General features: G+C 46.3%; 1 protein-coding gene across 5 annotated transcripts in view, besides 2 other annotated features; it reads left to right on the top strand.

The window, feature by feature from the left end:
• Positions 1–16,928, top strand: part of PILRA (paired immunoglobin like type 2 receptor alpha) — a 28,806-nt gene that overhangs the window by 10,420 nt on the left and 1,458 nt on the right. For 3 of the 5 annotated variants that reach the window (XM_047420292.1, XM_047420291.1, NM_013439.3), the window contains 2 exons: positions 8,178–8,396; positions 16,169–16,202. The exons of 1 other annotated variant lie outside the window; for it this stretch is intronic. In XM_047420292.1, coding sequence (XP_047276248.1) covers positions 8,178–8,396; positions 16,169–16,202 — 253 coding nt within the window. The remainder of the gene's footprint in view (positions 1–8,177; positions 8,397–16,168; positions 16,203–16,928) is intronic. One more of the 5 variants, NM_178272.2, reaches the window with a different exon arrangement.
• Positions 15,145–15,194: an enhancer, noted in NCBI's record as "active region_26361". NCBI's record gives its function as "activates an Ori minimal core promoter by ATAC-STARR-seq in GM12878 lymphoblastoid cells {active_cell/tissue: GM12878}" and the evidence as "EXISTENCE:reporter gene assay evidence [ECO:0000049][PMID:35858748]".
• Positions 16,062–16,561: an enhancer, noted in NCBI's record as "H3K4me1 hESC enhancer chr7:99995395-99995894 (GRCh37/hg19 assembly coordinates)". NCBI's record gives its function as "activates a minimal SCP1, AML or CMV promoter by ChIP-STARR-seq in naive H9 embryonic stem cells {active_cell/tissue: H9 hESC(naive)}" and the evidence as "EXISTENCE:reporter gene assay evidence [ECO:0000049][PMID:30033119]".

Consider the following 16,928-nt stretch of genomic DNA (forward strand, 5'->3'; position numbering starts at 1 on the left):
TTGCAGGCAGGTGTGGAGGGAGAGGCGCGGGCGGGAACCGGGGCTGCGCGCGGCGCTTGCGGGCCAGCTAGAGTTCTGGGTGGGCGTGGGCTTGGCGGGCCCCGCACTCGGAGTGGCCGGCCGGCCCCGGGCAGTGAGGGACTTAGCACCTGGGCCAGCAGCTGCGGAGGGTGCGCCTGGTGCCCCAGCAGTGCCAGCCCACCGGCGCTGTGCTCGATTTCTCGCCAGGCCTTAGCTGCCTCCCGGCAGGGCAGGGCTCGGGACCTGCAGCCCGCCATGCCTCAGTCCCCACCCCCACCCCCACCCCACCCCCGTAGGCTCCAGCGCGGCCCAAGCCTCCACGAGGAGCGCCGCCCCCTGCTCCACGGCGCCCGGTCCCATCGACCGCCCAAGGGCCGAGGAGTGCGGGAGCAAGGCGCAGAACTGGCAGGCAGCTCTACCTGCTGCCTGGTTGGGGATCCAATGGGTGAAGCCAGCTGGGCTCCTGAGTCTAGTGGGGACTTGGAGAAACCTTTATGTCTAGCTAAGAGATTGTAAATACACCAATCAGCACTCTGTATCTACGTCAAGGTTTGTGAATGCACCAATCAGTACCCTGTGTCTAGCTCAGGGTTTGCATATGCACCAATTGGCACTCTGTATCTAGCTAATCTAGTGAGGACTTGGAGGACCTTTATGTCTAGCTAAGGGATTGTAAGTACACCAATCACCACTCTGTATCTAGCTCAAGGTTTGTGAATGCACCAATCAGCGCTCTGTGTCTAGCTAATTTAGTGGGGACTTGGAGAACTTTTGTGTCTAGCTCAGGGATTGTAAATGCAACAATCAGCACCCTGTCAAAACGGACCAATCAGCTCTCTGTAAAACAGACCAATCGGCTCTCTGTAAAATAGACCAATCAGCAGGATGTGGGTGGTGCCAGGTAAGGGAATAAAAGCAGGCTGCCCCCCTGAGCAGTATCAACTGGCTCTGGTTCTCTTCTACGGTGTGGAAAGTTTCTTTTTTTTGCTTTTGCTTTTTGCACTAAGTCTTGCTGCTGCTTGCTCTTTGGGTCCACACTGACCTTTATGAGCTGTAACACTCACCGTGAAGGTTTGTAGCTTCACTCTGGAAGCCAGCGAGACCACGAACCCATAAAAAGGAAGAAACTCTGAACACATCCAAACATCAGAAGGAACAAACTCCGGACACGCCGCCTTTAAGAATTGTTAACACTCAAACTGCAAGCGTCCGTGGCTTCATTCTTGAAGTCAGTGAGACTGAGCACTCACCAATTCTGGACACAAATGGATCAATTCTGTTTGTGTCAGGTGATGGTGAAAAGAGAAAAGAGTAGAACTGGAGTGAGTGGGACAGAGATTGCTAAGGGTGGCCCTGTATTCACATTGAACAGGGAAGGCTGCTGTGAGATGAAGCAGAGCCTGGTGTAGGGTAACTGGGGAGACCTTAGAGTGAGGCACACTTGGGGAAACCAGTCAGGGACGGGGAGGTACCCTGGGACCAGCAGCAGGCCTCTGAAAAGCAAGAGACGGGAGCCCAGAGAAGACAGAAATGTGTAGAGAGGAACTGTGGCCTCTGGAGTCAGAAGTTGTTACAGGGCACCCGAGCCCACAGATGGGGTCCTCCAAGGCCAGCTCCAAAGGCACAACGCAGGGATAGAAGAACTGGGAGCAGACCTGGAGAAGCCCCAGGAAGATCCAAGCTAGACACTGATTGGTAGAACGTAATGGGGAGGTTGGGAGAAGAATGTTCCAGTCACATGGGACAAGTGTGGCTGAAGACAGGGAAGAGGCAGAGGGTGGAAGGAGGCGGGGAAGATCCTGTGTGGCTTTGAAAGCCAAGGAAACAACTCACTTTTGCTCTGAGTGCCATGGGAGCGAAGGAGCGTTTCCTGCAGGAGTGCTGAGATCTGACTCACACTTTTTTTTTTTTTTTAATTTTTTTGTGATGGAGTCTCGCTCTGTCGCCCAGGCTGGAGTGCAGTAGCATGGTCTTCGGTCACTGAACCTCTTGCCTCCTGGGTTCAAGGGATTCTCCTGCATCAGCCTCCTGAGTAGCTGGGATTACAGGTACCTGCCACCACACCCGGCTAATTTTTATGTTTTTAGTAGAGACAGGGTTTCACCATGTTGGCCAGGCTGGTCTCGAACTGTTGACTTCAGGTGATCCGCCTGCCTCGGCCTCCCAAAGTGCTGGGATTACAGGCGTAAGCCTCCATGCCCGGCCCCAACTCACAGCTTAAAAGCATCCCTCTCGCTATGGTATGGAGGAAAAAATTATAGGTGAGCGAAGTCAGAAGCAGGGAGACTGGGGAGAGAGGACGCAGCTTGGCTTAGCGAGATGGCAGTGCACGAGGTGAGAGTTGGCTGATACTGGTTATATTTTGAAGACAGGGCAGACAGGATTTGCAGATGGATTGGATGTGGGGTATGAGAGGGAGGAAAGGAAGGATGACTCTAAGGTCCTTGGCCTGAGCATCTTGAAGGACAGAATTGCCATTTACTGAGTGGGGGAAACGGAAGAACGGGTTTAGGGGGAAATCAAGAACTCTGTTTTGGACATCTTACGTTTGAGTCGTTACTAGACATACAAATGGAGGTGTGAACAGGTAGATCTCTGAGTCTAGAGTGCAGGGGGAAAATTGGCTGGATATATCAACTTGGAACCCAGCCTGGGCAACATAATGGAACCCCGTCTCTACCAAAAAAAAAAAAAAAAATTTTTTTTTTTTTTTTGAGACGGAGTCTCACTCTGTCACCCAGGCTGGAGTGCAGTGGCATGATCTTGGCTCACTGCAACCCCGGCCTCCTGAGTAGCTAGGACTGCAGGGGAGCACTACCACACCTGGCTAATTTTTTTTCATTTTTAGTAGAGATGGGGTTTCACCATATTGCTCAGGCTATCCACAAAAAAATTTTTTTTTAAAAATTATCTGGGCATGGTGGTGTGCACCTGTAGTCTCAGCTACTCAGGAGGGTGAGGTGGGAAGATCGCTTGAGCCCAGGAGTTGGAGGCTGCAGTGAGCCACGGTTGCACTATTGCGTTCCAGCTTGGGCGACAGAGGAAGACCAATCAGGATACCACTGATATTTAATGTCACACAGTGAATGAGATCATCTGGGAAGTGAGTGTGGCTAGAGAGGAAGTTTTAGGACTGGGCCCTGACATTAGGTTTGGGCAGATGAAGAGAAATCAACAGAGACGTCTCAGAAGGAGCTAAGTAAGAGTGAGGCAGGAGAACCAAGGGAGATGGTGTCCCAGAAGCCAAGTGAATAACTCACTTCACAAAAGGGAGAGTGAGGAGTATCAAATGCTGAAAAGCTGAGTCAGATAAAGAAAATGGGGGTTTAAGATCTAAATTCTCCATGTCAATAGTAGGAAGTGAGTAGATACCATCTAAAACAAGCAAATCAAGCAACAGCAATATTCGCATGCTGTTTAGAAATAGAAGGTTAACACAAAAATAAATAGCTAAAGTTGCTGAAAATAGTTGCCTCTGGGGAGTTGGAAGGGAGTGAGGAGGCAGGTGCAGGAGGCTGCTGTTTTTTTCTAAGTTGTGTGAAATTTGTTGGGTCTGAATTATGTGCCGATTGTATCTTGTACTTGATGCGATTGTATCTTGTACTTGTACTTGATTGTACTTGGAAAAAGTGTTAAATTTAAAAACTAATAAAAGTACTGGTAATACTTACACATAATTTAAAAAAATACAGAAGGAAGTCAAATAAAATGTAACATTCACCTAATCTCCCCAGTCCCTACCACTTTGTGTGGAAGTGTTCTCTCACAGATACAGACATACAACACAAATGGAATTAAACCACATACTATGCTGCTCTAGAAATTGCTATTTTTACTTAAAGTAACTTGAATCTCTTTCATTCCAGTATATATACATCTATGTCTTTTTATTTTTTATTTTTATTTATTTATTTTGAGATGGAGTTTTGCTCTTGTTGCCCAGGCTGGAGTGCAATGACATGATCTTGGCTCACTGCAACCTCTGCCTCCCGGGTTCATGCGATTCTCCTGCCTCAGCCTCCCAAGCAGCTGGGATTATAGCCATGTGCCACCGCACCTGGCTAATTTTGTATTTTTAGTAGAGATAGGGTTTCACCATGTTGGTCAGGCTGGTCTCAGACTCCTGACCTTAAGTGACCCACCCACCTCAGCCTCCCACAGTGCTGGGATTACAGGCGTGAGCCACCACACCCGGCCTATGTCTTTTTTTTTTTTTGAGACGGAGTTTCAATCTTGTCACCAAGGCTGGATGAGGTGGCACGATCTCAGCTCACTGCAATCTCTGCCTCCTGGGTTCAAGTGATTCTCCTGCCTCAGCCTCCCCAGTAGCTGGGATTACAAGCACGTGTCACCATGCCCACCTAATTTTTGTAGTTTCACCAAGTTGGCCAGGCTGGTCTGATTCCTGACCTCAGATGATCCACCTGCCTTGGCCTCCCAAAGTGCTGGGATTACAGGCACAAGCCACTGCGTCTGGCCATTTAAAAAAATTTTTTAGCTGCTCTTCGCAGAGCAGGGCTAACTCCTAGTCATTGTGCTCTGAATCAGCAATGCCTTTTTAAATGGCCGCATGCATCCCATGGTAGTGATGTATCATAATTTATTTAATCCCTGTCCCAGAAATTAGCCAGGTGTGGTGGCATGCACCTGCAATCCCAACTATTTGGGAGGCTGAGACACGAGAATCCCTTGAAGCAGGGAGTTGGAGGTTGCAGTGAGCCGAGATTGTACCACTGCACTTTGTTGTTGTTGACAGAGTGACACTATGTCAAAAAAAAAAACAAAACACAAAAATTTTGGTTTTGAGACAGGGTCTCTCTCTGTTGCCCAGACTGGAGTGCAGTGGCACAATCATAGATCACTGCAGCCTCAACCTCCTGGGCTCAAGCGATCCTCCTCCTGAGGCTCCTGAGTAGCTGGGACTATAGGCATGTGCCACCACACCCAGCTAATTTTTGTATTTATCATAGGGACCAGGGGGAGCGGGGGTCTCACTGTGCTGCCCAGGCTGGTCTCAAAACTCCTGGGCTCAAGTGATCTGCCCACCTCGGCCTCCAAAAGTGCTGAGATTACAGGCATGAGCCACAGTGCCCAGCTTTAAAAAAAAAAAAACGACCAAAAAACTTTTGAATGGATATTAGCATTAGGATTATGGAATCATTTTATGAAATGGATTCAAATTGCATAGTTTTCCATCTTTATGTTCTGGAAACTTCTATGTGAGAATTCTATGTTCCTTAAATTTTTACAAGAATTTCTTTTTAAAACTTCCTAAGCATGGAGACCTTATGAAAGGTAGTTCTTGCATAGCATTCTCATTTCTTCTCTGTCTAATGATCAGTTAACTCATTTACGCCAGAGGCTGCAAATTTTTTGTGTGAAAGATCAGAACTTGGCGATGACCTTGAGCAGTAGGATATAAATAACTCCCACAAACTTAGCGTTCTAATAATAGAACACTAGGCATAAATGAGTTAAGGTATATACTACTTCTTCGTTTGAGACAGAATCTTGCTCTGTCACCCAGGCTGGGGTACAGTAGCATGATCTTGGCTCACTGCAACCTCCGCCTCCCAGGTTCAAGTGATTATCCTGCCTCAGCCTCCCAAGTAGCTGGGATTACAGGCACCCGCCACCACACCCAGCTAATTTTTGTATTTTTAGTAGAGATGGGCTTTCACCATGTTGGCCAGGCTGCTCTCAAACTCCTGACCTCAGGTGATCTGCTCACCTCAGCTTCTCAAAGTGTTGGGATTACAGGCATGAGCCACTGTGCCTGGCCCCAAGGTATACTAGTTCTTAAATCAATTTTTAAAAATATCACCCAGGCCTGGCTCAGAGGTTCATGCTTGTAGTCCCAGCTAATCAGGAGGTTGAGGTGGGAGGATCACTTGAGCCCAGGAGGTGGAGGCTGCAGTGAGGTACGATTGCGCACCCCAGCTTGGGCAACAGAGCAAGACGGTGTCCAAAAAACCCAAAAGACACCCATTTCACAGATATTTTAACATTTAACAACATATAATTGAGCATATACCCACTCGTGACTGCAGCTGGCTTTTGTTGTCATTAGGTTTGCTAGTCTTGTCTATCTTCTTCTTGTTGCTCCTTTAAATAACCAGTTTCTGCATTTATTTTGCCTGTGGCTATCTGTTCCCTAATTTATTCCTACGTAACTTTTCATTACTTTCTTCCTCTGAGTTTCTTTACAGCTGGCTCCTCCTGTTTGGGGTTTTTTCTTTGGAAACTGAATATTTTATTTGTTTTAAAAATTTCTTCCCATTTTAAGTAATAAATCCATTTCATACAATGAATTTAGCTTAGAGTGTTGCTTTAGTCATACTCCAGGGTTCTTTTTTAAAATATGTATTACTCTAGTTTTTATTTTCTAAACAGTATGTTATTATACATGTTTTCCTTTAAGTAATTAAAACATTTTAAAATTCCCAATCAAGACATAGCATTTACACTTTTATTACTTTCTCTTAAGAGTGGATGAAGATTTTAGTTCATACTAACTTGAAGACATTAAGGAGCCTGATTTTTTTGTCCTGTGGCTGAGTACTATGTCAATTTTTTAAGGGTGCGTGAAACATCTATAAAGAAGGTGTAACTTGTTTGTAGGATGTGAAGGTCAATATATATTAATGTGACCTTAAAAACATATTTTCAATATACAGTAGGTTTTTTACAGATGTGTTCTCACTTATTAAGACAATCCTGGCTTGGCACAGTGGCTCACACCTATAATCCCAACACTTTAGGAAGCTGAGGCGGGCAGATCACCTGAAGTCAGGAGTTGGAGACCAGCCTGGCCAACATGGTGAAACCCCGTTTCTACTAAAAAAAGAAAAAAAAAATACAAAAATTAGCTGGGCATGGTGGCATGTGCCTGTGATCCTAGCTACTCGGGAGGCTGAGGTAGGAGAATCACTTGAACTTGGGAGGCGGAGGTTGCAGTGAGCCGAGGCTGCACCACTGCACTCCATCCAGCCTGGGTGACAGAGCGAGCCTCCGTCTCAAAAAAAAAAAAAAAAAAAAAAAAAAAAAGACAATCCTGTAAAAACACACTGTATGATTCAGCTAATATGAAGTATTTAGTCAAACTCATGGAGACAGAAAGTAGAGGGGTAGAAGGGTGGGGACACAGGAATGAGGAGTTGTTTAACACGTGAAATGTTTCCATTGAGGTGGATTGTTAAGCCAATGACAGAATTTAAACCACAGACTTACTTTGATAGTACTCTTAATGGTATAATTTCTTCTCCCATTTTATGTCTCTCTTTATGTTTTTTCTTATGTTTCCTTTTTGTTTTCAAGAGAGAGCTATCTTTTAGATCTCCAGTATCCTTTTCCTCTTCAGTAGAGATTTCTATATCTTGAAATAAATAAAAAAGCACTCCGTTAAGACGTGGGGCTGTGAAATGGGTGAAATCCCAAAGACTCTTTCAATTCATCTGTGATTAACATTTTTGGGAAGTAACTCCTATTATAAATTAAAAGTAATATTAGAGTTTTTCACAATCAGAATGTCAATAAATTTTTAACTTAAAAAAAATGTTTCCATTGAGGAAGATGCAAGGGTTCTGGAGTTGGATGGTGTGATGGTTGCACAGCACTGTGAATGTGCTTGATGCCACTGAACGGTGCATGTAGAAATGGTTAAAATGACATATTTTATGTTACCTGTATTGGCAACAATAGACTTTTTTTGATCCTGTGATTTAGTTATCCCTATTTGTGAGTGAGGAGATGAGGTTCTGAGGTCACCCTGCTGATAACTGGTATAGAATCGGATTTAAACTGAGTTGCCTGTTAAGCTGAATTTGAGGAGGAAGAAATAAAATTAAAGGAAGGAAGAAATGGAAGGAAGGAAGAAAGGAATGAAGGAAAGAAGGAAGGAGGGAGGGAGGGAGAGAGGAAGGAAAGGAAAGGAAAGGAAAGGAAAAGAAGGAAAGGAAAAATAATATAAAATGAACTGAGTCGTCTGCATTGAAAGCTGTTAACATTTCACCCTGTTCCCCGCTCCCTGTGTGGGCTTCAGAGAGGAGCTCCCTCACCACTAATGTCCCCCAACCTAGAAAGCAGCACACCACGCCTTTCACCCAGACACCCTGTGCCCCCAGGGGAGGGTCTGCTCATTCCTCATCTCTCCCCAGCTGTCACGACCACCACCCAGAGGCCCAGCAGCATGACTACCACCTGGAGGCTCAGTAGCACAACCACCACAACCGGCCTCAGGGTCACACAGGGCAAACGACGCTCAGACTCTTGGCACATAAGTCTGGAGACTGCTGTGGGGGTGGCAGTGGCTGTCACTGTGCTCGGAATCATGATTTTGGGACTGATCTGCCTCCTCAGGTGGAGGAGAAGGAAAGGTAAGTGCCCAGGACCCGCCCTCTCCCCAAGCCTCCCATCTGGGGGTTTCTCAAAGCCCACCTGCAGCTATGGGGCTCCTGAAATATGCAGACCCTGCTGGCTCCCCTCAAGCCCACCGAGGCCGACTTCGTGGCCTATGCTGAGGTGTCTGCATTTGTGAGGCTCCTGCAGTGGGGCGGGGCAGGGTCACATGTGAGAGCCCACAGCCCTTTTCACACAGCCGATCCCCCCCTAGTTCTTCTCTCTCAGTCATCACTCATCTACCTCCCCTGAAGGTTCCTGGGGAGGAGAGGGGAGGGTCTGCCCTGGGAAAAGGAGAGAGAGAGCAGAAGGGACCAGAAGTAAGCTGAGCTCAGCAGGCACTGGCCAACTGCCCACCTGCCACGGCCTGGCTTGAAACTGCAGAAGCAAAGTAGATAAAGCATAAACCATAGACTCTGCTCTCAGGGAACTAGGGGTGTGGGGTTTTCAGTTGCCTCAAGGACTAATTGCTTCATTGAGAAAGAACTATGGTAGCACTTAATAAGGGTGGGAAGAAGGAGAGGTAATCAGAGAGGACTTCCCAGAGGTGATATATGCAAAAGTCTCAAAGAAGAAAAAGAATTAGCCTGGCAAGTGGTGAGGGTGGTGTAGAGGTCACTCACTTTCCTTGTGGGTGGAGGAAACCATTCCAGGAGCTGCAGGAAGCTCAGTGCTGGTGGAGGAGGCAGGAAAGGAGAGGACCTTGGAAATCACACCCAAGAGCCTCTGATCCCAGAGGCAGCATGAAGCAGTAAAGGGTGACCTCAGCTACCGTGAGAGACCTCAGTCTATGGAGGAGTGGCCAGAGGTGGGCCAGGCTGGGTCAGTGCAGTGCAGGGGTGAGGTGGAAAGAGGAAAAGGGCCAGATCCTGGAAAAGATTAAGTAATAAAACCAAAGAGGTGAGGTGCGTTGAGGTGGCTCACGCCTGTAATCCCAGCACTCTGGGAGGCTGAGGCAAGAGGATTTCTTGAGCCCAGGAGTTTGATACCAACCTGGGCAACACAGGGAGACCCTGTCTCTACAAAATAATAATAACAATAATAATAATAATAATAATTATTATTATTATTATTATTATTAGCTGGGCATGGTAGCCTGTGCCTGTGGTACCAGCTACTGGGAGGCTGAGATGTGAGGATTGCTTGAGCCCAGGAGTTTAAGGTTACAATGAGCTGTGATTTCACCACTGCACTCCAGCCTGGGAGACGGAGCAAACTATCTCCAACTAAATATAAAAATAATTTAAAAAAAATTTTTTATAAATGACACTTGGTTGGTTGGGCAGGGTGGCTCATGCCTGTAATCTCAACACTTTGGGAGGCCAAGGCAGGAGAATCTCTTGAGCCAAGGAGTTCAAGACCAGCCTGGGCAACTTTGCAAAACCCCGTATCTACAGAAAATACAAAAATTAGCTGGGTGTGGTGGCGTGCGCCTGTGGTCCCAGCTACTCCAGAGGCTGAAGTGAGAAGACTGCTTGAGCCTGGGAGGTCGAGGCTGCAGTGAGCCATGATTGTGCCACTACACTGCAGCCTGGCTGACAGAGCAAAACCTTATCTCAATAAATAAATAAATAAGTTGATTGTTAGATTGATGTAGGGGCGAGGGAGCAGGAATAAGCCCCTGTTTCCACTTGAGTGGATGAGGCTGTAATGAAATCACCAAGTACAATGGGGAAGAGAGGAGATCATGCTTGGAGGGGAACGATGCCTCATTTAATTTGGGATCTGTTACACTGGAGATCCATGTGTGGCATCTCAGCAGAGTTGTCCATTGGAAACTCAGAGTACACATTTACAGTTCAAAAGAGAGGACAAGGCCTGAGGCATTAATGAGTTCCACCCCAACATCCTCCAAACCTGATCTGAAGTTACCATCAAGAATGTTTGCAATGGGCTAGGCATGATGGCTCCCGCTCACGCCTGTAATCCCAGCACTTTGGGAGGCCAGGCTGGGCAGATCAGTTGAGCCCAGGAGTGTGAGACCAACCTGGCCAATGTGGTGAAACCCTGTCTCTACTAAAAATACAAAACTTAGCCAAGTGTGGTGGTACGCACCTGTAGTTCCAACTACTGGAGAGGCTGAGGTGGAAGAATTGCTTGAGCTTGGGAGGCAGAGGTTGCAATGAACTGAGAGAGTACCACTGCACTCCAGCCTGGGTGACAGAGTGCAAGGAGATTTGCCCTATCAGCTATGAAAGCACAGAGGGGAGGAGCATGGGGTTGGGGCTGCCTGCAGTCAGATCCTGGCCTCACACCTTCGCCAGGGAAACAGCCTTGTTGGTACAAAGGCTGTGCACCTCACCTTCCTCATGGGCAAAGGGAGTGAAGATAGTACCTACGTGGGGTTGTCCTGATGATTAAATGTACTGTGTTTAGATCTTGCAGAGGGTGTGCCACAGGAGCATCAGCAGTTAGAATGACTAAACAGTGGGCATTAAACCAGGGAACACTGGCTCTCATGGGAGCACCATCGTATGAATACATTTAAAAGACAAAACAGTACAATATTGGCATATTCATACACAGATAAAGCAATGGAAGAAAAGAGGAAAACCTAGGTATAACAGAATGAAAAGAGACCCAAATATATGTGGGAATTTAGTTGGTTAAAATGTTTCTAATCAATGAGGAAAGATGAGTAATTCCATGAATGGTGCTGGAACTATTCAGTAGCCATCTGAGAAAAAATAACATTATCTCCTTACCTCATAATTTGTACCAAAATAAATTCCACAGGGATCAAAGATTTAAATGAGAAAAAAAATAACCCTAGTACCAGAAGAAAATGTGAGATTATTTCATAAGCAGTAGAGACAGTCTTCCTCAGTATGACCAAGCCCCAAAGCCATGGATTAAAATATTAAAATCTGGCCAGGTGCAGTGGCTCATGCCTGTAATCCTACCACTTTGGGAGGCCGAGGTGGGCAAATCACTTGAGGTCAGGAGTTCAAGACCAGCCTGGTCAACATGGTGAAACCCCGTCTCTACTAGAAATATAAAAATTAGCTGTGCATGGTGATGCGCCCCTGTAATCCCAGCTACTTGGGGGGCTGAGGCATGAGAATCGCTTGAACCTAGGAAGTGAAGGCTGCAGTGAGCTGAGATCACACCACTGCACTCCAGCCTGGGTGATAGAGCGAGACTCTGTCTCAAACAAAAAAAAAAAAATTAAAATCAACCACTTATGATTTTTTTTTTAATTCTGCAGAACAAAAACCACAGCACTTTTCTCCTGAGAATGAATAAGAGGGTCAGGGAATTGAAGAGAAAGTTTGACATAGTCACTGAGGAAATGGGAAGTGGAGTTTGAGGATTCAGCTCAGATACGAAACTGTAAATCTATGATAGCAGTGTTGTGCATGGCTGCATTTTTCCCCAGCAGTAGTCAACCATTCAGATTTTGAGACCTTAGTGATTTGTGTTGGTCAGGAATTGTTGTCAGTTGCTACCACCAGGGACCAGAAGTAAAAGTAGCTTAAACAAGACAGAGTTGGGTTATTTTTTTCCTCTTGTAAACAGATCTGGAAGCAGACAGCACATCACTGTTCTTAGACACTCAGGTTCCTACCTTTCTGATTCACCAGCCCTGATGCTGGCTTCTGTCCCAAAGGTTGCCTCATAGCCCAAGACGGCTGCAAGGATTCCAGCCACTATTTCTGGGTTCCTGGCAAAAAATAGGAGGAAGGAAGAAAGGAAAAAAAAAATACTATGCCTCAACTCTCTGTTCCCTTTTAAAGAGTCTTTCTGAAAGACCTAACAACAACTTCTTCACGTGTGAGAGCCCCGGCCCTCTCCACACAGCCGATCCCCGCCCCTCCGACCCAGTTTATATCTTATTGGCTAGAATTTGGTCACATATCCCACAGCTATCTGTAGGGGGAACCCTCCCACTCCAAATACAATCAATTTTCTGTAACTAAGAATAATTGAATAGATATTGGGTAATCAAATACCATTTCTGCCATAAGACACCCCCAGGATTAGAGACTTGCCAGCTAAGTGTGGCAGAAAGACAGGAGATCACAGGTCAAGGAGCTAGTGAGAAGGCAGGAATGAAGAGCAGAGGGGTCAGCAGGGAGTCTGAATAATCTGTAGAAAAGTAGATTATCACGGGATAAGAGTTCAATGAAGTCTAAGAGCAGGTACAGTGGCATAATGACAAAAGACAGCTGGAATGCTTCCAAGCTTATTCTGTGAGGTCAGCATTACCATGATACCAAAGCCAAACAAAGACACTACAAGAAAAACAAAAACAGAAACAAAACAAACTACAGACCAATAACTCTGATAAATATTGATGTAAACATCAACAAAATACCAGCAAACCAAATTCAACAGCACGGCAAAAGAATTATACACCATGGGCCAGGCACAAGAATCACTCAAACCTGGGAGGCGGAGGTTGCAGTGAGCCGAGATTGTGCTACTGCACTCCAGCCTGGGTGACAGAGTGAGATTCTATCTCAAAAAAAAAAAAAAAAAAAAAAAAGGAGCTGAATTGAAAAAAAATAGATTAATATACCAACGGAATAGAATACAGAGTCTAGAAATAAACCCTTGCGCATATGGTCAAAAGACTTGACAAGGGTGCCATGAGCACTTAATGGGCAAAGGACAATCTCTTCAACAAATGGCATTGGGAAAACTGAATATCCAAACCAAAGAATGTAGTTGGATCCTTATCTTATACCATATACAAAATTTAACTCCAAATGGATTAAAGACCTAAATGTAAGACCCCAAACCATAGGGAAAAAGCCTCATGACACTGGGTTTGGCAATAATTTCTTGCCTGTGATACCAAAAGCACAAGCCACAAAAGAAAAAATAGACAAATAGGACAACATTAAACTTAAACATGTTTTTTCATTACAGGACACAATCAATAGAATCAAAAGGCAACCTATAGAATGGGGAAAATATTTGTAAATTATATATCTGATAAGGAGTGAAAATCTGAAATATATAAAAATTCCTATAATTCAACAACAAAAAAATCAACCCAATTTAAAAGTGGGCAGTGGATTTTAACAGACATTTCTCCAGAGATGATATATGCTATGGTCTGAAATGTGTCTCCTCAAATCATGTATTGGAAACTTAGTCCCCAGTGTGACAACTGGGAGGTAGTGTGTTTTGGGAGGTGCTTAGGTCATGACGGCTCTGCCAAACGGATTAATGCCATTATAAAAAGGGATTTCAGGAGTGGGTTCACTGTCTTCTAATCTTCTGCCATGTGAGGACACAGTAATCCTCCCCTCTGAAAGACACAGCAAAAAGCAAGATGCTGGCACCTTGATCTTGGATTTCCCAGCCTCCAGAACTGTGAGAAATAATTTTTGCTTTGCTTTGCTTTGTTTTACTTTTCAGCAACCTCTTGTCCAACAGAAGAAACAAATTTGTTTTTTTATAAATTATACAGGCTCAGATATTCTTATATACATTAGCAGCACAAAATAGACTAAGACAGTATACAAATCACCAACAAGCAGATGAAAATGGCCAACTAATCATCAGAGAAATGCAAATCAGAACTACAGAGAGCTATCTCCTTATACCCAGAAGGACAGCTACTATTTAAAAAGTGTGTAAATGACAAGTGTTGGGAAGAATGTGAAGAAATTGGGGCCCTTGCGCACTGTTGATGGGGGCTATAAAATAGTGCAAATGATACAGAAAAAAAGCATGGCCTTTCCTCAAAAATTTAAAAATAAAGGCCAGGAGTGGTGGCTCACACCTCAAATTCCAGCACTTTGGGAGGCTGAGGTGGCAGATCACCTGAGGCCAGGAGTTCGAGACCAGCTTGGCCAACATGGTGAAACACCATTTCCACTAAAAATACAAAATTAGCTGGGTGTGGTGGCGGGCACCTGTAATCCCAGCTACTCAGGAGGCTGAGGCAGGAGAATCACTTGAACCCGGGAGGCAGAGGTTGCAGTGAGCTGAGATTGTGCCACTGCACTCCAGCCTGGATGACAGAGCGAGACTTCATCTCAAAATAAATAAATAAATAAATAAATAAAGCTACCATACGATCCAGCAATCCCACTTTTGGGTACATACCAAACAGAACTGAAAAGAAAGGTCTTGAAGAGATATTGATACACCCATGTTGATAGCAACACTATTTTCAATGGCCAAGAGGTGGAAGCAACCCAGATGTCCATCAATGAATGAATGGATGAACAAAATGTGGTTTATACATATAATGGAATATTATTCAGTGTTTAAAAGAAATTCTGGGCCAGGTGCAGTGGCTCACACCTGTAATCCCAGCACTTTGGGAGGCCAAGGTGGGTGGATCACCTGAGGTCAGGAGTTCGAGACCAGCATGACCAACGTGGTGAAACCCTGTCTCTACTAAAAATACAAAATTACCCAGGCCTGGTGATGGGCGTCTGTAATCTCAGCTACTTGGGAGCTTGAGGCAGGAGAATCGCTTGAACCAGAGAGGCAGAGGTTACAGTGAGCCTAGATCACACCACTGCACTCCAGCCTGGGTGACAAGAGCGAAACTCTGTCTCAAAAAATAAAGAAAAAAAGAAATTCTGACACATACTACAGTATAAACGAAACTGGAAGACATCAAGCTAGGTGAAATAAGGCAGTCACAAAATGACAAATATTGTATGATTCCACTTTTCGGTGGTGCCTAGAGATATTAAATTAATAGGAACAGAAAGTAGAATGGTGGCTGTCAGAAACCGCAGGGAGGAGGGAGTAGGGGTTCTTTAAAACTGTTTCAGTTTTGCAAGATGAAAAGGTCCTGGAGATGTTTCACAACAGTGTGAATATACTTAACACTAATGAACTGTACACGTGGTTAAAAGTGAATTCTAGTGTTTTGTTTGTTTTTTTGTTTTTTTTTTACCGTAAGTAAAATAAAACATAACCTAAAGAGAGGGAAAAAACAGAGGGACAGAAGAGTGCTGGAAAGAAAGCTGCAGCATGGAAATGATACTAGCAATTAATATTTCAGAGTTCTCAGTCTAAACATTAAAAAAAAAAAAAAAAGTCCTGTAGAAGTGGAAGGGGAGGTCCCTGGAGTTGAGGGGTACCTCAAGGCCTGGGTTCAGAGGGTGTCTCTGTGGACATGGAGCCCTCCTGGGAGGAGGCTAGATGGTGGAGGGGATGTCTGTGGACCAGGAGCCCACTGCTTGGGAAACACTGCAAGGATGCCACGGGGATGGGAGGGGCAGGACACAATGGGAGAGGCAGCAGAGGATTCAGGGTGGGACCAGCCAGAGGGGAGGGGAAGCCTAGTGGTGGCAACAGAATTTGAACAGCCACAAACATGAGTCCCAAGCACGACGCTCCCAAGGCTGGAGGGCAGACATAGCCGCCACCCAGAAGGAAAGCACAGGCACGGTCTCCCTGAGGACCTGGAGGGAATGGGGGCGGGGTGCCAATGTCAAGGGAAGGGGAGGGGAGGGGAGAAGTGACTGGGCGAGGGCTCAGCGGTGGAGGGAGCCAGGTTGGGGCTGAGCAGAGAGCTCAAGAGAGAAAGAAACCAAGGGAGGGGGTCAGGGTGAAGGGGTCTCAGGAGGTGACATGGAAGACAACAGGGAGGACAGGTGGAGACCTCAGGGTGCCGGCTGAGTCCCAGGCCCTTCCTGATGGGTTTGGGTGGAGCAGCTCTGCTGCTCCGGTCCCTCTAAGGAGGGCCTCAGCCTAGGGCGCAGCAGAGAAGGTGGGATGGAGACTGCCATCACCCGGATGCCACCCTGACTCACTGTTGGTCCCCCTACAGGTCAGCAGCGGACTAAAGCCACAACCCCAGCCAGGTGAGTGCTGGGCCTCCCCAGGGTGGGTTGGGGGGTGCATGTGCAGGCAGTGGGCTGATTTGGGAAACAGGGAGTGTGCTGCTAAGAACCCCACAAACCCAGCCTGCCACGGCCATTGTTGCATCCCCAACTTACCCATCCTTGTTCTCCTTTGTCCTCTAGGGGCCAGGCTCTTGACCTTGGGCTTTCTGTCCCCTAAATACTAGACTAGTGGACTCCAGGTTCCAGCACAAACATTCAAGAATCTCTTTTCTGGAGTGCCCATCTGTGCCCTCTGCCTGCCTTTCCTGGTGTTATTAAGCTTTTCCTGCTCTTTACCTGCTTCCTCTCAGCCTGGATCTTCCAGCTTTTCCATATTGCCTACTCTGTTCAATCTGTCCTGTTCCCCTGCTGAATGTGCAGGGAACTCCAGGCTTCCTCTGCCTCCAGCTCCTCTCCCCGCCTGTGTTTGCTCAGGAGGGACTCACCAGCCTCTGCCTGGCTCCCCTCTCCAGGCTAGGGCCTCACTTTTCCTTTTTCTGGGCTCTTCCTCTCCACCCTCCCACCTCTCTTTCCTTTCCTCTGGCCCCTCCTTTCCATAGCCGTAGGTCTCCTGCTGGAAGAAAGCCTCACCCCTACCCTTTCTCCTGCACTGGCTTTTGCCAGCTGCCCTTCTCCTGTCCCCAACCCTTCTCTATCCATTCACCCAGCCTGAACCCCTCCCTGATCAGAAGACCTGAAATTCAC

Source organism: Homo sapiens, chromosome 7 (genome assembly GCF_000001405.40).
Source record: "Homo sapiens chromosome 7, GRCh38.p14 Primary Assembly".
Taxonomy (NCBI): Eukaryota; Metazoa; Chordata; class Mammalia; order Primates; family Hominidae; genus Homo; species Homo sapiens.